This window comes from Homo sapiens, chromosome 14 (genome assembly GCF_000001405.40).
Source record: "Homo sapiens chromosome 14, GRCh38.p14 Primary Assembly".
NCBI lineage: Eukaryota > Metazoa > Chordata > Mammalia > Primates > Hominidae > Homo > Homo sapiens.
Genome location: NC_000014.9, coordinates 53,190,735 through 53,215,476, shown reverse-complemented (window position 1 = coordinate 53,215,476; position 24,742 = coordinate 53,190,735). Strand labels below are relative to the sequence as shown.

At 39.8% G+C, this 24,742-nt stretch overlaps 1 long non-coding RNA gene across 5 annotated transcripts in view, besides 1 other annotated feature; it reads right to left on the bottom strand.

The window, feature by feature from the left end:
• The window catches only part of LOC105370502 (uncharacterized), a 73,457-nt gene that overhangs the window by 26,994 nt on the left and 21,721 nt on the right, over positions 1–24,742 (bottom strand). For 3 of the 5 annotated variants that reach the window (XR_001750965.1, XR_007064169.1, XR_007064170.1), the window contains exon 4: positions 14,008–14,047. The exons of 1 other annotated variant lie outside the window; for it this stretch is intronic. This is a non-coding gene — a long non-coding RNA (uncharacterized LOC105370502). Of the gene's footprint in view, positions 1–13,993; positions 14,048–24,742 lie in introns of those variants that run through there. One more of the 5 variants, XR_001750966.2, reaches the window with a different exon arrangement.
• Positions 24,116–24,205: an enhancer, noted in NCBI's record as "active region_8403". NCBI's record gives its function as "activates an Ori minimal core promoter by ATAC-STARR-seq in GM12878 lymphoblastoid cells {active_cell/tissue: GM12878}" and the evidence as "EXISTENCE:reporter gene assay evidence [ECO:0000049][PMID:35858748]".

Sequence of the window (24,742 nt, the reverse complement as noted above, 5' to 3'; positions counted from 1 at the left end):
AGATAAGAGTTACCAGAGATGGACATAACGTTATAAGCAGAGGTCAAATTATAGAGTTGTCTGTGCCATTCTAAAGTTTTGTCTTATCAGTGATGGAGGGTTATTGTAAAATAGGCTATGGTGTGGTCTGCTTTGCGCTTTAGAAAGATCATGCTGAAAACAGTATGAAAGAGAAACTTTCAACCACAAGCCTGGAGGAGGAAAAACCAGGATGAAGACCATTGCAATAGACCAGATAAGGGGTATTAGTGGACTGATTTAGGGCAGTGGAAGTGCAAGTGATGAGAACACATTGGACTTGAAAACTGTTTAAGAGCTAAGGTTGACAGGAGATAAAATTGACAAAGCTAGTGATTGAGTGTACATGTGAAGTGAGAGAAAAAGGAAGAGTTGAGGATGATTCTCAAGGTTCTGAGTAAACAATGACAGAATCTAAAGGTGGGGGGCAAGTTTTAGGTGAGTAAATATGCAATTTGGGAAATGTTTATTTTTTAATGCCTATATGAAATGTCCAGGTACACCTGTTCAGGAGGCTATTAGATATATAACCTTGGCCTTAGTAGGGAAGTCAGTATTGGGTTGATTGATTTTATTTGCTTTTTATTATCTATTCACACTTTAATTCATTTCAAAGATGATTTGGGACATAACAACCAATATATAGTGTCAGGTTCATGACTATGCCAATTGTCATGTTGAGGTCCAAAGAGAGTAGATGGATGAAGAGAAAGAACACTCAGGGAGCCTTAGGCAGGTGAAAGATGATTTTATTCAGCAGCAGCTCTCATCAACAGCTTTCTCATCAGCAGCTTACTTACACTGTCTCTCTCGCACTGTCCTCCCTGTCTCGGCTGCTTGCTCTGAACTGCTCCCACACACACAGCTGCACAGCCGGTTCTCCCCTGCTTTCAGGGTCAGCAGCTTAACTCTTTCTCTGTTTCCCTGGGCACGAGAGACAAGCCAAGCCATGACCTGGCTCCCCTCTGTCCATCCACAAGAAAGACAGCTCTGGTTCTCTCTCTGTTTCTCTGGGCACCAGTACAAGAGCCATGCTGAGCCATGCCTAAGAGCCAAGCCCCATGCAATACTGTCAGCCGGGCAGTTATACCTTTTAAAGACAACAGCAGCTCCAAGCCAAGAATGAACTTACACAAACAGGTGATAACAAATGGAGTATGAGCCTGCACCCTAAACCCACTGAATCATGCAGGCCTGGATGTCTGCCTTGGCCTAACCTTGACCAAAGAACATCCATGTACCTTACATATAGTTAAAGCTATCAAATTGGATGAGATCTGGTCTATTACTAGCCCCTTACACATGGCAAAGGGAAAAATCAATCATTATGTTCTACAGCAACACCCACATAGTGTGTGTGTTTCCCCATGAGGATACAGTCTACCTCTATCTATGAAGCAGTAGAAAGAACACTCAGCAAGGAGTTGGGAAACATGGTTTCTGTTTCCAGCTCCTACATTACAATGTGACCCTAGGCAACTCATTTAAGCTCTCAGAGGCCTCTGATGTGAAAAGGCTGGATTGTGTGATCTCTATGGTTATTTCCAGCACTGGAATGGGAATTCCCTTTGAACCCTATTTCCTGATTCATTATCCAGCCCTTTTCCTCCCTTCGGTGACCCCCGTTGGCCTCCAAGGTGCCAATTAGCAGTTCAACTTGAGAAGGAGAAAAAGGAAAGTAAAAAATGTTTGCTCTATGCTGGTTATTATGACAAGAAAATATATAAATGGGAAAAACTAACATTATTAAAGTTGTTTGGACCTGGAGGTTTTGGTTCATATGGATTCACTCTATCACAGAAGATCACAGACAATGTAAATTCAGCTACACTCCAAGAAAGACCATTTAAACTAGGCTTATTTAAAGGCAAATAGGGATGTCCCTATGCTTCAGTCTTCCCATGCATTTCTACAGAAATCTTCTAGTTATAACATTCCAATTATAAAAAAAAGTGTTCAGCCAACTTCATAATTTAATTTTCAGAAAAATAAATAAATACAACCAAACACAAAGCTTTTTCTTTAAATGTAATTAATGATCCAATGACCTAAAAGGGAAAGATTAAGCTTTCCGGAACAATAAAAATACATGGATCTGAGCAAAATTTGGGGGAAATTCCTAGTATAGTCAGCTTACTATGTTCAACTTACTTTAAGTTCAAGCCATGACAAACTTCACAGAATGCTACAAATGACCTTTCCTCTGATTTGGGGGATACTTTTTCAATGGTGTGCAATGCTCCTTCCTCTCTTCTCTGTATGGAAAATGCTTGCATCCAGTGTTCTCAAACTTGGGTGATGTGTATCATAATCCCCCCCCACCCTCCCCCCCATGGTGGGCATGTTAAAAAAAAAATACAAAACAGATGGCTGGTCCCTACCCTCAGTTTGTAATTCATTAAGTCTGGAAAGGGCCCAACAAATGGCATTTCTAACATGTTCTCAGGGGATGCAGATGCTGCTGGCCAGGAATCACATTTTAGGAACCACCAGTCCTATGCCTACTTCTATTTGAAAAACTCAGCTCAAATCCCACTCCCTGAGTGAAGATGGGGTAGAGAAGGGAGGGGTATCCCCTGTTCCTTCTCCTCCCAAAAGGCTATCAATAGCTCCATAGCACAGCTGTTTTACATCTCTGGTCCCAATCTGCTCACCAGATCTGTTTCTACCCCACCTCCACCCCACTCCTTTGCAACTTACTTGAAAGGGAGGCCCAAATCTTATTCCTACTTTTATGTTTCTCAGTATCTACAACAGTGTCCACTCCCACCAGATACTTAATAAATGGACCCCCCCTACACACACACAAAATACACAAATGAACAGAAAAATGACTATGAAAGCACTTTTAAAGTCAAAGTGCTATGAAAAACATGTTGCAAATGAATCTGCAACCTAGTTACAATACAGACTTGCTTGTTTGTTTGTTTTTTGAAACGGAGTCTCACTCTCACCCAGGCTGGAGTGCAGTGGTACAATCTCAGCTCTCTGCAACCTCTGCTCCCAGGCTCAAGCAATTCTCCTGCCTTAGCCTACTGAGTAGCTGGGATTACAGGCACCCGCCACCACGCCTGGCTAATTTTTGTATTTTTTTTTAGTAGAGTCGGGGTTTCACCATGTTGGCCAGGCTGCTCTCGAACTCCTGACCTCAAGCAATCTGCCCACCTCAGCCTCCCAAAGTTCTGGGATTACAGGTGTCAGCTACCTTACCTCACCTTAAAATGCAGACTTTGATTCAGAAAGTCTAAGGTGGGGCCTGAGAGTTTGTATTTTTAATAAGCTGTAGGTGAGGCTAACACTGTCTATGGCCCACACTCTAAGTTGCAAGGTTTTATACTGGTGGTTCCCAGCTTTGACTATACATTAGAATTTCCCCATGGATCTCTGAGAATATAGAGTCTGATCCACTTCCCAAATTAAATCAGAATCTCCGAGTGTGAGACCCAGACATCAGTATTTTTAAAATGTTCCTCAGTAATTCTAATGCACAGCCAGGGCTGAGAATAGTTGATCTCTAAGTAATCACACATGATATATTCAAATTACCTTAAAATCTAAACTATGTGTTCCAAACATGAGAGTTTTCTATTATTTATGATTGCATTAATGTTGATTATACCAAATATATCATTTTATTCTCTTCAAATCACTTACTTATTGTAAAATAATGTCTTTACCCAGCATTATCTAAACAGCCAGAAAAGAAACTTCTAACAGCTTTTAAAATAAAGCTTTACTTAATATTTAAAGTTTACTTAATGTTTACTTGAATTTTCTCAACTTACTACCATCTTTAAAAAAAAAAGATCAGTAACTGTTTTATACAATAATTATGATATATATTTTTCTTAGAAATAGGCCAATGTACCTCCCAAAGAAAGTGCCCTCAACATTAAGGATGCCAAGTGTCAGATGTCACAGCATGTGGTCCTAAAAAGCTGACTTCCAGAGTGCTCCATTGTTTTTTGTTGTTTGTTTGTTTTGAGACAGAATTTCGCTCGTTGCCCAGACTGGAGTGCAATGGCGCGAACTCGGCTCACTGCAGCCTCCGCCTCCCAAGTTCAAACAATTCTCCTGCCTCAGCCTCCTGAAAGTAGCTGGGATTACAGGCACCCGCCACCACACCCAGCTAATTTTTGTATTTTTAGTAGAGACGGGTTTTCACCATGTTGGCCAGGCTGGTCTCGAACTCCTGACCTGAGGTGATCCACCCACCCCAGCCTCCCAAAATGCTGGGATTACAGGCATGAACCACCGTGCCCGGTTTCCGTTGTTTTTATAGTCTGTCTTAAAGAAGCAGAGTCAGGTGACTTTAAAAAAATCTATTTTAAGAAAAATTATCAAATAAAAATCCACAGCTACACAGAAGATATATTAGAGAGTGTTCTTTCAAACAAAATAAAGATCTTAATAGCATACCTTTAACTTATAAGTAAGTCACCAGAGTTCCTATAAAATATAATCCAGTCTTCTACTCAATTTCTACCAACTCTTCACAAAGACATCTGTGCCATAATGTAAGGAATGTTTATAGGGTTAACTTTGATCTTGGTGTTTAAAAAAGCAGCCCAGATAATACAAAACTTTCTAGACTTGGAGTGATCTGTTTTAACATTGTACTAGAAACGGGCTACATAATCCATTTCAGGTCCCTGAATCCTGGGTTTCAATCAGCAGATGCTGGAATCTCCTCTTGCCAAAATGTGAATTAAAATATCTCGTACAGTACTAGGAAGAGGTACTCGGCCAACACTGCCAACTCTAGTGTTGCTGCAGCTGAGTCTCAGAATGATAAAGAGAAGCTCAGTTATGCATTTGGTCAAACCAAAGCTGAGTGCAGGAACTAAGTAAACCTCTCACAAGCCTCTTACCCTTTAAGAATAAAAGATTGAGGAGAGGATGTGGAGAAATAGGAACACTTTTACACTGTTGGTGGGACTGTAAACTAGTTCAACCATTGTGGAAGTCAGTGTGACAATTCCTCAGGGATCTAGAACTAGAAATACCATTTGACCCAGTCATCCCATTGCTGGGTATATACCCAAAGGACTATAAATCATGCTGCTATAAAGACACATGCACACGTATGTTTATTGTGGCACTATTCACAATAGCAAAGACTTGGAACCAACCCAAATGTCCAACAATGATAGACTGGATTAAGAAAATGTGGCACATATACACCACGGAATACTATGCAGCCATAAAAAATGATGAGTTCATGTCCTTTGTAGAGACATGGATGAAATTGGGAATCATCATTCTCAGTAAACTATCACAAGGACAAAAAACCAAACACTGCATATTCTCACTCATAGGTGGGAATTGAAGAATGAGAACACATGGACACAGGAAGGGGAACATCACACTCTGGGGACTGTTGTGGGGTGGGGGTAGGGGGTAGGGATAGCATTAGGAGATATACCTAATGCTAAATGACAAGTTAATGGGTGCAGCACAGTAGCATGGCACATGTATACATATGTAACTAACCTGCACATTGTGCACATGTACCCTAAAACTTAAAGTATAATAATAATAAAATAAAATAAAATAATAATAAAAAAAAGGAAAAAAAACAAAATTACTTTCACACATACAGACTTAGTATCACTCATAATACAAAAGAAATGTTTAATAAATGTGTACTAGATTAATAAAAGAAATAAAAGACTGAAATAATAACCTTTAGAAGACTAATAGTTAAAATTCTTCATTAGGTACAACTCTTATGATGTACCTTTTCTGATAATCTTACATTTCCAGGCAATTGTAATTGTCAAAGAGATATTTGAAACAGCATGATTTGTATTCATGTTAAAAAAAAAAAAAAGATGACAATGTGCCAAATTCAATAAATTGTGCTATTGTGAAATATAACCATCTGACGGAAAGGAGAAGTGCCAGGAATTGGCCAAAGGGTTCTCTACACATAAATTTCCTAACGGACTGAAGTTTGTATTCTTATGGCTGAACTCAAAACACAAAAATGCTTTGTACATATTAAGGAAAAGCATTATTAAACCTAAGATCCAGCTTTTATTCCCCTCTAATTAACTCAGCACCTTGAAATCTGGTTTCCAGTTTTATCCTTTTTCTGAAACTTTTCTAAGATTAGCAATGGCATCCCACAGAAAAGAGAACAGGTGCCAGAAATCTGGAGAATATCTTTTCCCCCACTGATTTTCAACAAAGGGAAGAATATAAATTATATAAAACAAAATGGGTGGCAAATAAATCCACCATTGATTCTAGGAAAATCTCTAGAATTATTTTAAATATATTAAACACTTAGAAAATTGTGATCACAAGGAATTACACTGAATTCAAGAACACTCATGACAAACATTTTTTCCTAAGATTCGTAATGTGGTAAAAATCTCAGAACTGCTATAGGTACTAAAAATCTGCATTTCAGCAGTCATGATGTCCTTATGGACAAGATGAATAAAGCGACTGCTCAAAAGTACACATAGAACCAAACCCAAAGAATGCTGAGTTATGAGTCAAAGTCACCGCGGACAGAGATTTCCAAAAGCATTCCCCAGAGCACCGACCTTGTCCCTAACTACTTCAAGCTCTTACTGACAACTTGAATGAGGGTATTTGTGGCCCAGTGATCAAATTTTCAGACAATTTGAAGGTAGGAAATGCCATTAATGGTAAATAACTGAATTAGATCACAAAAAGGTCACAACTGTCTGCACCAATAGGCCAAATCTGACCAGATTTAATTTAACAGGACAAACATAAAGTACTACCCAACATTGGGTAGTTTACAAAGGAAAGAACTTTAATTGACTCAGTTCTGCAGGGCTTTGGAGGCCTCAGGAAACTTACAATCACAGTGGAAGGGGAAGCAAACATGTCCTTCTTCTCATGGCAGCAGGAAGAAGTGCCAAGCAAAAGGGGAAAAGCCCCTTTTAAAACCATCAGATCTCGTGAGAACTCACTCACTATCATGAGAACAATAGATGTAACCACCCTCATGATTCAATTACCACACATCTGGTTCCTCCTACAACACATGGGGATTACGGGAAGTACAATTCAAGGTGAGATTTGGGAAGGAACACAGCCAAACCATATCATCCAAGGTGTGTGTGTGTGTGTGTGTGTGTGTGTGTGTGTGTGTGTATCACATTTTATTTATCCACTCATTGATTGATGGGCATTTGGGCTGGTTCCATATTTTTGCAATTGAGAATTGTGCTGCTATGAACATGCATGTGCAAGTATCTTTTTTGTACAATGACTTTTCTTCCTCTGTGTAGATACAGAGGAGTGGGATTACTGGATCAAGTGGTAGATATACTTCTAGCTCTTTAAGGAATCTCCACAGTTTTCCATAGTGGTTATACTAGTTTACATTCCCACCAACAGTGTAAAAATGTTCCCTTTACACCACATCCACACCAACATCTATTATTTTTGGTTTTTTGATTATGGTCATTCTTGCAGCAGTAAGGTGATACCGCATTTTGATTTTGATTTGCATTTCCCTGTTAAATAGTGATGTTAAGCATTTTTTCATATGTTTGTTGGCCATTTGTATATCTTCTTTTGAGAATTATCTATTCACGTTCTTTGCCCACTTTTTGATGTGATTGTTTGTTTTGTTCTTGATGATTTGTTTGAGTTCCTTGTAGATTCTGGAGATTGGTGTTTTGTTGGGTGTCTAGATTGTGATGATTTTCTCCCACTCTGGGTTGTCTGTTTACTTTGCTGATTTATTTCTTTTGCTGTGCAAAAGTTTTTATGTAATTAAGTCCCGTCTGTTTATCTTTATTTTTGTTGTGTTTTCTTTTGGGTTCTTGCTTGTGCAGTCTTTGCCTAAGCAAGTATCCAGAAGGGTGTTTCCAGCGTTTTCTTCTAGAAATTTTATGGATTCAGGACTCGATTTAAGTCTTTGATCCATCGTGAGGTGATTTTTGTATAAGGTGAAAGATGAGGATCCATTTTCATTCTTCTACATGTGGCTTTCCAATTATCCCAGCATCATTGTTGAATAGGGTGTCTTTTCCCTGTTTTTTGTTTTTGCTTCCTTTGTCAAAGATTGGTTGAATGTAAGTGTTTGGCTTTATTTCTGGGCTCTCTATTCTGCTCCATTGGTCTATATGCCTGTTTTTACACCAGTACCGTGCTGTTTTAGAGACTGTGGCTTTATAGTGTAGTTTGAAGTCTGGTAATGTAATGCCTCCAGATTTGTTCTTTTTACTTAGTCTGGCTTTGACTATGTGGCCTTTTTTGGTTTCATATGAATTTTAAGACTGCTTTTTCTAGTTCTGTTAAGAAGGATGGTGGCATTTTAATGGAAATTGCATTGAATTTGTAGATTGCTTTTGGCAGTATGGTCATCTTCACAATACTGATTCTACCCATCTATAAGCATGAGATGTGTTTCCATTTGTTTGTGTCATCTATGATTTCTTTCAGCAGTGTTTTGTAGTTTTCCTTGTAGAGGTCTTTCACCTCCTTGGTTAAGTATATTCCTAAGTATTTTATTTTTTTGCAGCTATTGTAAAAGCAGTTGAGTTCTTGATATGGTTCTCAGCTTGGCTGCTATTGGTGTATAGCAAAGCTACTGACTGTGTATTTTAATTTTGTATCCTAAAACTTTGCTGAATTCATTTACCAGTTCTAGGAAGTTTTTAGATGAGTCTTTAGGATTTTCTAGATATACAATCATGTTATCAGCAAACAGCAACAGTTTGGCTTCCTCTTTAGCAATTTCGGTGCCTTTTATTTCTTTCACTTGTCTGACTGCTGTGGCTAGGACTTCCAGCACTATGTTGAGAAGTCGTGAAAGTGGGCATCCTTGTTTTGCTCCAGTTCTCTGAGGGAATGCTTTAAACTTTTCCCCATTCAGTATGATGTTGGCTGTGGGTTTGTCATAGATGATTTTTATTACCTTAAGGTACGTCCCTTTAATGTCCATTTTGCTGAGGGTTTTAATCATAAAGAGATGGTGGATTTTGTCAACTGCTTTTTCTGCATCTATTGAGATGATCATGTGATTTTTGTTTTTAATTATGTTTATGTGGTGTATACATTTATTGACTTGTGGATGTTAAAACATCCCTGCATCCCTGGTATGAAACCCACTTGATCAAGGCAGATTATCTTTTTGATATGCTGTTGGATTCAGTTAGCTAGTAGTTTGTTGAGGATTTTTTGCATCTGTGTTCATCAGGAAGGTTGGTCTGTAGTTTTCTTCTTTTATTATGTCTTTTTCTGATTTTGTTATTAGGGCAATTTGGCTTCATAGAATGACTTAGGGAGGATTCCCTCTTTATCTTTTGGAATAGTGTCAATAGGATTGGTACCAATTCTTCTTTGAATGTCTGAGAGAATTCAGCTGCTAGTCCATCTGGTCCTAAACTTTTTTTGTTGGTAACTTTTTAATCACTTTTTCAATCTCGCTGCTTGTTATTGGTCTGTTCAAAGTTTCTGTTTCTTTCTGATTTAATCTAGGAGTGTTGTATATTCCAGAAATTTATCCACCTCCTCTAGGTTTTCTTGTTTAGCACATAAAGCTGTTCATAGTAGCCTTGAATGATCTTTTGTATTTCTATGGTATCAGTCGTAATGTCTCCTGTTTCATTTCTAATTGAGCTTATTTGGATCTTCTCTCTTCTTTGCTTGGTTAATCTCTCTAATGGTATATAAATTTTACTTATCTTTTCAAAGAACCAGCTTTTTGTTTTATTTCTCTTTTATATTTTGTTTGCTTGTTTCAATTTCATTTGGTTCTGCTCTAATCCTGGTTATTCCTTTTCTTCGGATGCATTTGGGTTTGGTTTTTTCTTGTTTCTCTAGCTCCTAGAGGTGTGACCTTAGATTGTCTATTTGTGCTCTTTCAGACTTTTGGATGTAGGCATTTAATGCTATGAACTCTCTTCTTAGCACTGCCTTTGCTGTACCCCAGAAGTTTTGATAGGTTGTGTCACTATTATTGTTCAGTTCATATATATATATATATATATATATATATATATATATATATATATATATATATATTTTTTTTTTTTTTTTTTTTTTTTTTTTTTTTTTTTAGATGGAGCCTCACTCTGTCACCTAGACTGGAGTGCTATAGCACAATCTCGGCTCACTGCAACCTCCACCTCCCAGGTTCCAGCAATTCTCCTGCCTCAGCCTCTGAAGTAGCTGGGATTACAGGTGCCTGCCACCATGCCCAGCTGATTTTTGTATTTTTAGTAGAGACAGGTTTTCACAATGTTGGCGAGGCTAGTCTCAAACTCCTGATCTCAAGTGATCTGCCCGCCTCAGCCTCCCAAAGTGCTAGGATTACAGGTGTGAGCCACCACACCTGGCCTAGTTCAAAGAATTTTTTAATTTCCATGTTGATTTTATTGTTGACCCGAGGGTCATTCAGGAGGAGGTTATTTAATTTTCATGTATTTGCATGGCTTTGAGGGCTCCTTTTGGAGTTGATTTCCAATTTTAGTCCACTGTAGTCACAGAGAGTACTTGCTATAACTTTGATTTTCTTAAATTTGTTGAGACTTGTTTTGTGGCCTATCATATGGTCTATCTTGGATACTGTTCAATGTGCTCACGAATAGAATATACATTCTGCAGTTGTTGAGTAGAAGGTTCTGTAAATAGCTGTGAAGTCTATTTGTTCTAGGGTATAGTTTAAATCCATTGTGTCTGTATTGGCTTTTTGTCTTGACGACCTGTCTAGTGTCCTCCACTATTATTGTGTTGCCATCTATCTCATTTCTTAGGTCTAGTAGTGATTGTTTTATAAATTTGGGAGCTCCAGTGTTAGATGCGTATATATTTAGGATTGAAATATTTTCCTGTTGGACTAGTTCTTTTACCATTGTATAATGTCCCTCTTTGTCTTTTTTAACTGCTGTACTTTTAAAGTTTGTTTTGTCTAATATAAGAATAGCTACTCCTGCCTGCTTTTGTGTCCATTTTCCTGGAATATCTTTTTCCAACCCTTTACCTTAAGTTTATGTAATTCCTTATGTGAGTCATGTGTCATGTGAGTCTCTTGAAGACAGAAGATGCTTGATTGGTGAATTCTTATCCATTCTGCCATTCTGTACCTTTTAGATGGAGCATTTAGGCCATTTACATTCAACATTAATATTGAGATGTGAGGTACTATTCTGTTAATCATGCTATTTATTGCCTGAATACCTTGTAGTTTATTATTATTATTATTGTTTTATAGGTCCTGTGAGATTTACACTTTAAGAAGGTTCTATTTTGGTGTATTTTGAGGATTTGTTTCATGATTTAGAGCTCCTTTTAGCAGTTGTTGTAGTGCTGGCTTAGTAGTGGCAAATTCTCTCAGCATTCATTTGTCTGAAAAAGACTATCTTTTCTTCATTTATGAAGCTTAGTTTTGCTGGATACAAAATTCTTGGCTGATAATTGTTTTGTTTAAGGAGACTAAAGATAGGACCCCAATCCCTTCTAGCTCGTAGGGTTTCTACTGAGAAATCTGCTCTTAATCTGTTAAGGTTTTCCTTTATAGGTTATTTGATGCTTTTGCCTCACAGCTCTAAAGACTATTTCCTTCGTCTTGAGTTTAGAAAACCTGATGACTGTGTGCCTAGGTGATGATCTTTTTGCAATGAATTTCCCAGGTGCTCTCTGAGCTTCTTGTATTTAGATGTCTAGATCTCTAGCAAGGCTGGGAAAGTTGTCTTCTATTATTCCCTCAAATATGTTTTCCAAACTTTTAGATTTCTCTTCTTCCTTGGGAATACCAACTATTCTTAGGTTTACTTGTTTAACATAATCCTAAACTTCCTGGAGGCTTTGTTCATTTTTTTTTATTATTCTTTATTATTTGTCTTTGTAGGATTGGCTTAATTCAAAACCCTTGTCTTCAAGCTTTGAGGTTCTTTCTTCTACTTGTTCAATTCTATTGCTGAGACTTTCCAATGGATTTTGCAATTCTCTAAGTGTGTCCTTCTTTTCCAGAAGTTGTGATTGTTTTTTATTTAGGCTATCAATTTCACTGGAGATGTTTCCATTTATATTACTTTTTTCATTTCCTTAAGATGGACTTCACCCTTCTGTGGTATCTCCTTCACTGGCTTAATAGTCAACCTTTTGAATTCTGTTTCTAGCAATTTAGAGATTTTGTCTTGGTTTGGATCCATTCCTGTTGAGCTACTGTGATCTTTTGGGGGTGTTAAAGAACTCTGTTTTGTCATATTACCAGAATTGTTTTTCTGGTTTCTTCTCATTGGGGTAGACTATGTCAGAGGGAAGATCTGGGGCTCAAAGACTGTTGTTTAGATTATTTTGTCCCACCGGGTGCTGCTTTGACATAGTGCTCTGCACTTTCTCCTAGATTTAGGCCTTCCTGAGAGCTGAACTGCAGTGATTGTTATTTCTCTTCTGGATTAGCCACCCAGCAGAGCTACCAGACTCCAAGCTGGTACTGAGGAGTGTCTGGAAAGAGTCCTGTGATGTGATCCATCTTCAGGTTTCTCAGCCATGGATACCAGCACCTGCTCAAGTGGAGGTAGCAGGCGAGTAAAGTGGACTCTGTGAGGTGCTTGGTAGTATTTTTGTTGTGTTGCATTGGTTTTGTGTTGGTTGGCCTTCAGCCAGGAGGTGGTGCTTTCAAGAGCACATCAGCTGTGGCAGTACAGGGAGGATCAGGAGGTGGGTGGGGCCACAGAGCTCCCAAGAAGTTATTTTCTTTGTCTTTGGAGTTCCTTGGCTGTCCCATGGAGCCTGAAGTTGAAGTTCAAAGGGTCTGTGGATTATCTTGGCTTTCCTGGTATGTTCCTGTAGTAGTTATTGGAGCAAAAGTTCATGATATGGGTCTCCACACGCTTCTCTGTCTGTCTGAGTGGGAGCTGCAAGTTAGTCCTGCCTCCTATCTGCCATTTTCCCAAAATTTTAAAATTCTCTAATTTTGCCCTAGCCCAGGCCAGGGCCAAGGCTGCCTCAGGGAGCAGTGGTGTGCCTGTGGACTGTGGCTGTGGGGTGGGTCTGGCACCTTTTAAAGTTTGATAAGAAACATTTACCAACTATTCTCTCTGAAGCCTGCTACATGGAGACTTCATCTGCGTAATAAGAACCTTAGTCTCCACAACCCCTTATCTTAACCCAGACATTCCTTTCTATTGATTTCAGGTCTTTAAATAACAACTTAACTCTTTCAATCAGTTGCCAATCAGAAAATCTTTGAGTCCACCTACGGTTTGATTTGATTAATGTTTGCTTGTAACTTCTGTCCCCCTAAAATGTACAAAATCAAGCTATAACCCAACCATCTTGGGTAAATGTTCTCAGGACCTCCTGAGATTGTGTCACAGACATGTCCTTAACGTTGGCAAAATTAACTTCTAAATTGATTGAGACTTGTCTCAAATACTTTTTAGTTTACAGTACATTAATATGGTAATACTCTAACCCTCTACAAGCCCTTTATTTGGGCTTTACTGAACTGCCTACTGTATAGCCCTACTGTATAGCCATTTCTAAGCAAATCTGAAAAACATTTATGATCTTAATAGCTATAATTTATTAAGTGTTTCTTGTGTACCTAGCACTCAGCTAGGTATTTATAAATAAATTACTTCTAAACCTCACCAAAATGCAGCAGGGGTATGCATTATTACTTCCATTTTATGTATATCCTCACGGAAACTCAGATGATTTAGAGATTTATGTGTCCAAAAATCAGAGGTCAAGTGCCTGGCCCACCTTCTTTCCACTTTCTCCCCAGATAATTGTCCCCAAATATTTTGGCCATCTTAGAAAAGTAGTCCCCATTCCAAGCCCAAACCCACCAAGTTCCTCAGCAGTTCCTAACCTTAGTAGAATAGTCCTACAGATGCATTTCACACTTTGTTACCTCTATGCAATACATTCATAGCTTTATTTGGTCACTGACTGTATTAGTTCATTTTCACACTGCTGACAAAGACATATCAAAACTGGGAAGAAAATGAGGTTTAACTGGACTTACAGTTCCACATGGCTGGGGAGGCCTCAGAATCATGCCGGAGAGTGAAAGTCACTTCTTACATGGTGGCAGCAAGAGAGAAATGAGGAGGAAGCAAAAACAGAAACCCTGATAAGCCCATTAGATCTCTTGAGACGTATTCACTATCATGAGAATAGGACAGGAAAGACCACTCCCCATGATTCAATTACCTCCCCCAGGTCCTTCCCACAACATGTAGGAATTCTGGGAGATATAATTCAAGTTGAGATTTCAATGGGGACACAGCCAAACCATATCATTCCGCCCCTGGCCCCTCCAAATCTCATGACCTCACATTTTAAAACCAATCATGCCTTTCCAACATCCCCCCCAAACTCTTAACTCATTTCAACATTAATCCAAAAGTCCACAGTCCAAAGTCTCATCTGAGATAAGGCAAGTCCCTTCCACCTATGAGCCTGTAAAATAAAAAACAAGCTAGTTACTTCCTAGCTACAATGAGGGTACAGGTATTGGGTAAATACAGCCATTCCAAATGGGAGAAATTGGCCAAAACAAAGGGGTAACAGGGCCCATGCAAGTCTGAAATCCAGTGGACAGTAAAATTTTAAAGCTCCAAAATGATCTCCTTTGACTCCAGCTCTCACATCCAGGTCATGCTGATGCAAGAGGTAGGTTCCCATGGTGTTAGGCAGCTCCACCCTTGTGGCTTTTTAGGGTACAATCTCCCTCCTGGCTGTTTTCACGGGCTAGCATTGAGTGTCTGCAGCTTTTCCAGGTGCACAGTGCAAGCTGTTGGTGGATCTACCATTCTGGGGTCTGGAGGATGATGGCCCTCTTCCACTAGGCAGTGCCCCAGTAGGGACTCTATGTGAGGGCTCCAACCCCACATTTCTCTTCTGCACTGCCCTAGCAGAGGTTCTCCCTGAGGGCCCCACCCCTGAAGCAAACTTTTGCCTGGGCATCCAGGCATTTCCATACATCTTCTGAAATCTAGGCAGAGGTTCCCAAACCTCAGTTCTTGACTTCTCTGCACCCGCAGGCTTAACACTACGTGGAAGCTGCCAAAGCTTGGGGTTTCCACCCTCTGAACCCACAGACCAAGTTGTATGTTGGCCCCTTCCAGCCATGGCTGGGGCAGCTGGGACACAGGGCACCATGTCCCCAGGCTGCACAGAGCACAGGGACTCTGGACCTAGCCCACGAAGCCCCTTTTTCCCCCTGGGCCTCTGGGCCTGTGATGGAAGGGGCTGCTGTGAAGTTTTCTGACATAGCCTGGAGACATTTTCCCCCTCATCTTGGGGATTAACATTAGGCTCCTTGCTACTTATGCAAATTTCTGCAGCTGGCTTGAATTTCTCCCCAGAAAATGAGCTTTTCTTTTATATCACATTGTCAGGCTGCAAATTTTCTGAACTTTTATGCTTTGCTTCTCTTATAAAACCGAATGCCTTTAACAGCACCCAAGTCACCTCTTCAATGCTTTGCTGCTTAGAAATTTCCTCCACAAGATACCCTAAATCATTTCTCTCAAGTTCAAAGTTCCACAAATCTGTAGGGCAAGGGCAAAATGCTACCAGTCACTTTGCTAAAACATCACAAGAGTCCCCTTTGTTCCAGTTCCCAACAAGTTCTTCTACTCCATCCGAGACCACCTCACCCTGGACCTTAACATCCATATCACTGTCAGCATTTTGGGCAAAGCCATTCAAGAAAGTCTCTAGAAAGTTCTCTAGAAAGTTCCAAACTTTCCCACATTTTCCTGTCTTCTTCTGAGCCCTCCAAATTGTTCCAACCTCTGCCTGTTATCCAGTTCCAAAATCACTTCCACATTTTCAGGTATCTTTTCAGCAACATCCCACTCTACTGGTAACCATTTCCTATATTAGTCCATTTTCATGCTGCTGATAAAGACATACCCAAGACTGGGAAGAAAAAGAGGTTCAATTGGACTTACAGTTCCATATGGCTGGGGAGGCTTCAGAATAATTGCAGAGGGCAAAAGCACTTTTTACATGGCAGCAGCAAGAGAGAAATGAGGAGGAAACAAAAGTGGAAACCTCTGACAAATTCATCAGATCTCATGAGACTTATTCACTATTACGAGAATAGCATGGGAAAGACCAATCCCCATGATGCAATTCAATTACCTCCTCTAGGTCTCTCCCACAACACGTGGGAATTCTAGAAGATACAATTCAAGTTGAGATTTGAATGGGAATACAGCCAACCCATATCACTGATGATCACCTGAATCACAGCTATGGTGGTGGCATCCAAGATTCTGAAAGACTTCTTCATCAGGTCTCTAATTCTCATCTTGTAGGACTTACAATGGCCATTTCTTGTTGAGATGCCACTCTTGAGCCCCCAAACCCACCACATTGTAAGTGTAACATCCCTGAGGGATTGATTTAACAGACTTGAACCAACCTTTGCAAATATAACAGTGAGAAAATTAAGACACTGAAAGAGATATCATCTAACCAACCCCTGTGTTGCCTTTAACCCCCAAACTTCCCTTAATCATTCCTGGGCTTGGGCCAAGCTAACTTTGAGAGATATTTATAGTTTAAATGATAATAGCCCTCCCCCAAAACTAAACTGCCTTTGTAAAGCTAGTGACAGACCACCAAGTTAGGAGGATGAGAGGAGCCTGAATTCTGCTTTGGTGTGGACATAAACGATTATCAGCCATTATTATTTATGTCACAAGATTTGCAACTTCCCTAATTACTCCTGCAGATAACATTACTGTCATAGAACCTAAGATTGGCCATTTGAGCTGTCTTTTCAGATTTTTCTATTTCTGAGGATGATGGCTCCACCCAGACCCACCAAACCATCCTGTGGCCCCCACCCAGAAGCGGGCTGTTTTTCACACCCCTGTGATTGCATCCCCAACTAATCAGTGGCACCCATTCCCTGGCCCACTAAACTATCCTTGAAAAACCCTACCTCTGAATTTCAGGAGAGGCTGATTTGAGTAATAATAAAACCCTAGTCTCCCATTCAGTCAGCTCTGTGTGAATTAAACTCTTTCTCTTTACAATTTCTCTGTCTTGATAAATCAGCTCTATCTGGGCAGCAGGCAAAATGAACCCATTGGGTGGTTACAGACTTACATAGGAAATGTCATGGTAATATGCACTGAAAGATCCATTTGTAGCTGAGATTCCATTTAGGAAGCAATTAGGGATTTTAAAGAGCTCTCCATCACTGCAGTATCACAAATTGCTTATCCATAGAGAATAAATTCAGATAGACACAACAGACATCTCACATAAGAGACCAGAGCTGAAGCAGCCAAGATTCAGGGCTGATAAATGAACACTAGATTCTCAAGTCTCCATCTTTCTGGGTTCACCTTTTGCTTTAACATCCAAATGCTCCAGCTCAAACCCCCATTCCAAGCACTGTAGGTGGTTCAGAACCTCTGCTAGGATTTTTGTTCATTCATTCCAACAACTTTTTATTGAGTAACTACTGTTACTCAATGTGTCAAGCTCTTATTCTAGGCACTAGAAATATAACATGAAAAGCAGGTTAAAAAAAAAAAAGTACTGCCCTCATGGAGCTTACATTCTCTGGGTGTGTTTGAGGTAGGGGAAATGGGGAGGAGGTAGGCTGTTCTGGTGTGTCCACTCTGCAGCCCACTTCCCTGTAGTCCCCTGTATCCTGCTAGCTGCTGCCACCTCTCTCTGCCCTGGTGGGAAATACTACTTTCTTCACTACTTTCTTCATTCCCCATAGCACACCACAAATACAAGCTATCTAGACATCCTTCAATCCAATCGAGTTGACACCTAACATTAACTATTGCACCTAGTGTTGGTAATAATAACAGGAAATACAACTTTCATACATTGTTAGTGTGAAAAGTAAATTGATACAACCTTTTTGATAGGTAATTAGGCAATAAATGATTCAGAAATTCTACTTGTAGGAATTTTTCCTCAGATGTATATAAAAGGATATTTTTTACAGCAGTGTTTCCCATGGCAATATGACTACAATAATGTAAATGTCCATCATAGAAGTGGTTATATAAAACCTAGTACATTCATACCATAAAACACTACGCAAAATACTATGCAACCATATTGAAAAATGAGGTAGGTCACTGAAAAGCTATATTATAGACTTCTTAAGTGGGAAAAAGTGTGATCTCACTTATATAAAGAAAAAATGTATACATAGCACTTCTAAATTTCAGTCCAAAAAACTGAAATGTATTTTTAAGAATGTCACTTTATTTCTCTAGAGCTAGATATAATATCTACATGGAATTTATATTCAACCAAGTGGCAAAACTTAATCTTCACCAATTTGATGTCCTACTTCCCAGGGTTACTTTTAAGTTTCAGGGGGTTTAGAGTTTGGCAAGGCATTCAATAGACAAATACACCTATTCCCTAGAATAGGTATCTATACATGCTGGCATCCATGAGTCATACTTTTTCCCATCTGCTCTTTTGATCATTTCACCAAGGATCAATATTTAACTGGTACCCACCAACTATAGCCAGGATAATGTTTTAGCCAGTTGTCAAAGCACTGAAATACTTCTAAGCCAGTTGGTACACAGATGCTGCCCAAAACACTGCTCCACCCACCAGACCCACCCACCCCAACTCTCCTCCACCCTTGGAGCCACCCTTACCTCTCCCACAATCCATTAACTAAAGGGTATTTCTAGGCACGGCAGGGTTTCCAGGACCTGCTCCCGTGACACAGCCAGCATGTCGTCCGACTGGCAGGTGCCCAGGCCAAATATTGTTGAATATGTGCTCCCTCAGAATACAACCAAACTAATCTATTGATAAGGCAAAGCTGAGGTTTATTAATTACTGCAGTATTGGAGAGCACTACCTTAGTAGTGAGATAAATTATCAGTAGTATCTTGGAGCAGAAATGCAAAGTCAGGACGTTTTTGGGGCTTACAGATTGAGTTTAAGACAGGTCTTCCAATAGGGGGCGGTTTGATTAATACTGGGTAAGAATCACGTTATAATCATAATTTGTGTACGTAGCAAGGTAGGGGTTTTAAAGCAAAGGTTTTAGAAACTCTTGGAGAGCAAATTATCATGATGCTTATTTAAATAAAATTTTAACAAAGTTCTTGAAATGGAAAATATAGTTAATTGCGATTTTTATGTTTCTAAGAGTATCCTGAAATAATAAAGCTATCTTGATTAAAACAATTAAATGGTAAAGTCATGTTAATGTAGAAGACATGCTGTTTGTCTATAGATGGCTTCACTTCTGTGTTCTCTCTTGTAGTCATTTTTAAGCCTGACCTGCAGGGTGCGATGCTTAACATCTGGGACGTGATCAATCCACCTCTTCATTACCCTTGTGGGTTGCCATGATTGAGCATCACGTGTCTGAAGATGGTGCTATGGTTTGAAGATGGGTTGTCCCCACCAAAACTCATGTTGAAGTTTTATTGCCAGTGTTCGGAGATGGGGCCTAGTGGGTGGTGTTTGCCCAGGCTGAGTGCAGTGGTGCAATCTCGGGCATAGGGGCAGATCCCTCAGGAATTGATTAATGCCATCTCTTGGGAGTAAACTCAACTCCTGATATCCTTTAACCTACTCTATTTTTTCCATCACACTTTTCACCTTCTAACATATTATATCTCATTTACTGTGGTTATGGTTTACTGTCAATCTGCTCACTCCCCAAAAGCAAAAAAATTTTTGTTTTTCTTTTTCACTGATGCATCCAAAACACTTAGAAGACTACCTGACACTGGCCGGGGGTGGTGGCTCAAGCCTGTAATCCCAGCACTTTGGGAGGCGGAGGTGGGCGGATCACGAGGTCAGTAGATCAAGACCATCCTGGCTAACACAGTGAAACCCCGTCTCTACTAAAAATACAAAAAAATTAGCCAGGCGTGTCGGCGGGCGCCCGTAGTCCCAGCTACTCGGGAGGCTGAGGCAGGAGAATGGCGTGATCCCAGGAGGCGGAGCTTGCAGTGAGCCGAGATCGCGCCACTGCACTCCAGTGTGGGCGACAGAGTGAGACTCCGTCTCAAATAAAAAAAAAAAAAAGACTACCTGACACTTAAAAAATATCCGATGAGCAAATAAAGCACTTAGAAAAGTACCTGGCCAATAGTCAGAACCATGTAAGTGTTCATTCTCAAGGAAGATTATCTAGTGAAAAAGGAAAAAGAAGAAAACTTTTTTTTTTTTTTTTGAGATGGAGTCTTGCTCTGTTGCCAGGCTAGAGTGCAGTGGCACGATCTCAGCTCACTGCAACCTCCGCCTCCCAGGTTCAAGCGATTCTCCTTCCTCAGCGTCCCAAGTAGCTGGAACTACAGGCACGCACCACCACATCCAGCTAATTTTTTGGATTTTTAGTAGAGACGGGGTTTCACCATGTTGGCCAGGATGATCTCCATCTCTTGACCTCGTGATCCACCTACCTCAGCCTCCCAAAGTGCTGGGATTACAGGCGTGAGCCACAGCGCCCAGCCCAAAGAAAACTTTTTGAATGTAAAAATAAAATTCCTTGAGTTGTTAAATTAGAAAAAGTAAACCCATCCTTAACTCACTTTAATTTAGAAGTCAGTGTGAATTGGTAAATAGTTACTTTTGCATGATAAATTAAATGAGTTTTGCTACTTATAATCATATATAGCAATTCTTTTATCAGAATGTCCAGGTAACAGCTCCTCTGGTTCTGTTGACCATGAAAAGGACCCTTGTCTATAGTATGACTTGAAACCAGAAGGCAGAGCATTGTCTTGCTCACACTTAGCTTGGAATACGCATATCCAGTGACTCAAATTTTTTGCCACTCTGCACACATCTTCAAATGACTAGGAAAGTGTGATACATCTTGATTTTTGGGGTTACAAATAAATGTTAGCTCATAGGTAAATTCACAAATTCAGAATCCATGAATAATAAGGATCAATTTTACCAAAAAGCACTCAATTGTATACTTTGTTAACTTTATGCTATGTGAATTCGTGAATTATATCTCAATAAAGCTCTTTTCTCCTTTTTAGTTTAAACTTAGTTTTTAAAAATTAGTTAAAAATAAAAAAAGAAAGCTGGGCATGCTGGCTCATGCCTGTAGTCCCAGCTACTTAGGAGGCTGAGGCAGAAGGATTGCTTGAACCCAGGAGTTTGAGACCAGCTTGGGCAACATAACATAATGAGACCTTGTCTCTAAAAAAAAGAAGAAAGAGAAGAAGACTATTGAGCGTTTCAGTGGGCATTTCTATACTCAACATATAAAACTCATGACTGACCAGCCACAGTTGCTCAAGCCTGTAATCCCAGCACTTTGGGAGTCTGAAGCAGGTGGATCACTTGCGGGCAGGAGTTCAAGACCAGCCTGGCCAACATGGCAAGACCACATCTCTACTAAAAATGCAAAATTTAGCTGGGTGTGGTGGTGCATGTCTGTAATCCCAGCTACTTGGGAGGCTGAGGCATGAGAATCACTTGAACCCAGGAGGCAGAGGTTGCAGTGAGCCGAGATTGCATGACTGCATTCCAGCCTGGGCAATAGAGCAAGACTCTGTCTCATAAATAAATAAATACATACATGTATACAAACTCATGACTGACTGTGGCTTTTTTTTTACTCCCATGTATTCTGTGAGACAGAAAAATACCATGCTGCTCCCTGAAAGAATGATATTCATGAGTAGGCAGAGGCAGAGCAGAAGGAGACCCAGAAAGGGGACTTCCTAGGCACATTACAATGCTCCACATCCCAGTTCCTACCCTTTTGAGGCCTGCTTGTTCATCTTTCTTTGATCCCGCTGTAATCAATTGCTTAAGCTGGCTCAGGTAGGTTTCTATTTCTTGCAACCAAAATAATTATAACTAATACTGTAACCACCCAATGGGTTCACCTTGCCCACTGCCTAGACAGAGCTGATTTATCAAGACAGGGGAATTGCAATAAAGAGTAATTAACGCAGAGCCAGCTGTGCAGGAGACCGGAGTTTGATTATTACTCAAATCAGTCTCCCCGAGCATTCGGGAGCAGAGTTTTTAAGGACAACTTGGTGGGTTGGGGGAAACCAGTGAGCCAGGAGTGCTGACGGTCAGGGATGAAATCATAGGGAGTCGAAGCTGCCTTGTGCTGAGTCAGTTCCTGAGTGGGGACCACAAAATCAGATGAGGCTAAAGTAAGTCCTACAAAGTCAATCTATTCCCCGGGCAGGAAGGAGGTCTGCTTTGGGAAAAGGCTGTTATCATCTTTGTTTTAAACTACAAGCCATAAACTAAGTTTCTCCCAAAGTTAGTTCAGCCTACACCCAGGAATGAACAAGGACAATTTGGAGGTTAGAAACAAGATGAAGCCAATTAAGTTAGATCTTTCATTGTCTCTGTCATAATTTTGCAAAGGTGGTTTCAATCCAACAGATTTTTAGCCACTTTTCTGGGATTATTTGACAAAACAATGAATGAGTATAATTAGCTCTTCAACTAGAACTTCAACAGATATTAAGATGACTGTGAATTCCTTGAGGGCAAGATGTTAGCTTTTCATCTTTGGTCTACCTTAAATTTAGACTTGCCATCCCTTTAGCATAAGGAAAATGTTGAAATGTAAATAAATGTTGAGTGATAAAAGGTATTCCTGGCACTGCAGGCTGTTCGTTAGAATCCCTGGAACAAGCACTCCTTTATGAATGATAACAACTTGGTGTGTGGTCCTGACTCTATCACCAACTAGCTGTGAGAACTTAGTAAAATGAGGAGAGCAGAAAAATCATCATAGGTTTCTAAGGCCTCTTGCAAGTCTGATATTTTCTCTTATGTAAATTAAACACACTTCTAAAAATAGTTTATATGATTGATTATCTTACTTTCTGGCCTGGAAGAAGGAGTGTAGTAACACAATCGATCATATATAAACCTTCTTCCTTCCTCCCTGACAGAAGACAAACGTCAATTTAGGCTGGCTCAGTCCAGTGCATACCAGATCAAGTCAGTGTTCAACTAAGCACTATTCTAGCTCTCAGCTGAATTGGCAAATCCCTATTAAGATTAGAATACATAATTAAGGTGTTATTTTAGTGGAGAGACAGGGTATTTTTATTTTAACAGGACAAAAAAGAAGGTAAGCTTCATTCCCTCTTCACAAACATTTATTTTCTCCTCTGTTCAAGAGCCTAAGGCCTAAGGGAGCATTTCCCAGGTGACCAGAGCTACTAGTGCACTGCAGTCTGGAAGGGTCAGGGTGAAGCAGTGGTTTTCAAACTTTAGCTTGCAATAGAACCACATGGAAGGCTTGTCATAATCAGATGGCTGGGCTCCACCCCAGAGTTCCTGATTCAGTTAAGTCCAGGATGGGGCCAGAAATTTTGCATTCCTCACAAATTCCCACAGGGAATGAACTGTTGGTTGTTGGTTCAGAACCTTACTTTTAGAACCAGGGAGGTAGAGAACCTCAGGGAGTTGATAGTTGGAGCCAGGTTATTTTATCTCTGAGAGGTTGTCAAATTGGAACATTATTTAATATATCAGAGATAGAGGTAAAGAGAACCTCCATAAACGTTTTCATTGTGGTCTTCACCTTTCCTATTTTTAACTTTCCTAAAGAGCTAGGGAGCTTCTCTTAAGAGCTTTCTAGATTATTAAGTGTATCTCCTTTCAAAGCCCCATGACATGACGTACCAATTGAAAGAAACCTGTTCCCTCTTGAATCATCTATTTGATGCCTATGTAATGTGAGAATAGCTCTTTAATGAAACCAGTACATTTAAGCCTTTCATAAATGTTTTATGCCACTTCCTTTATCAATAGAGACCCCCCCTCCCCAAGTTAATCTTAAAAATACAGTCTTCTGACACTCCTTTATGAGTGCCTACTATGTACAAGGAATCAGATTAGGGACTATGGGAAATACATACTGGCTGCAACACAATTATATTGTATTCTGGAGTTAAGGGTACAAAGCAGAAGATGGCATGTGGCCTTACAAGGGCGCAGGCAAAGTTCTATAAGGGTCCAGGAAGGGTCATACTTTGAGGAAGGAATCACAGATAGCTTCATGGTATGGATTTTATTTTTCTCAAGGTTTTGAGCATCTGGAAATTTGGCCCTTTGTTACTTGGTGTTTAATGCTTTTTATGGTACTACGAATAATTTAAGCTAACATCAGTGGTATAACATTGTATCTCTAAGAAATAAAAAGGAGAAAGCTGCATAGGACAGAAGAAAGTAAAGGGTTATTCACTGAATGGGAACCTGGAAGTCATAGTAGCATAACTGATTACTCACAGTAGTTCAGTGGAACTCCCTATTCTAACCTTGTCTCTTTTTCCATCATACACACACACACACACACACACACACCCACACACACACCTCCCACCCACACTGCTCTTTCAGCCTACCCCTGTGCTAAGCCAGCTGGGCAATTGCAGTTTTAGAAAGAGCAGAGCCAAGAGGTGCACAAAAACACATTAGTCAGCTTATAAACCGGAGCTGTTGAAACAAACATACTTGCAGTTTCACTGGAACTATTCATATTTAACACTAGAATAAATAGTGTTGTGTATACTAATCTCGAGTATTTCAAAATGGATATAAGTCAGAATATGAGTGAAATTCGAACTGTGACATAACTTTCTACTCAATGTGTATTTAGTTCAATTAGATATATAATTCTGATCATACTTAAAATTGAGATGGAGGGTAAATTATCTCCCAATTTTTAGCAGCAGGTGGGAAGAAAGTGCCTATACCACATTACTATATTATAAAGAAAATTTTAGGCCAGGCATGGTGG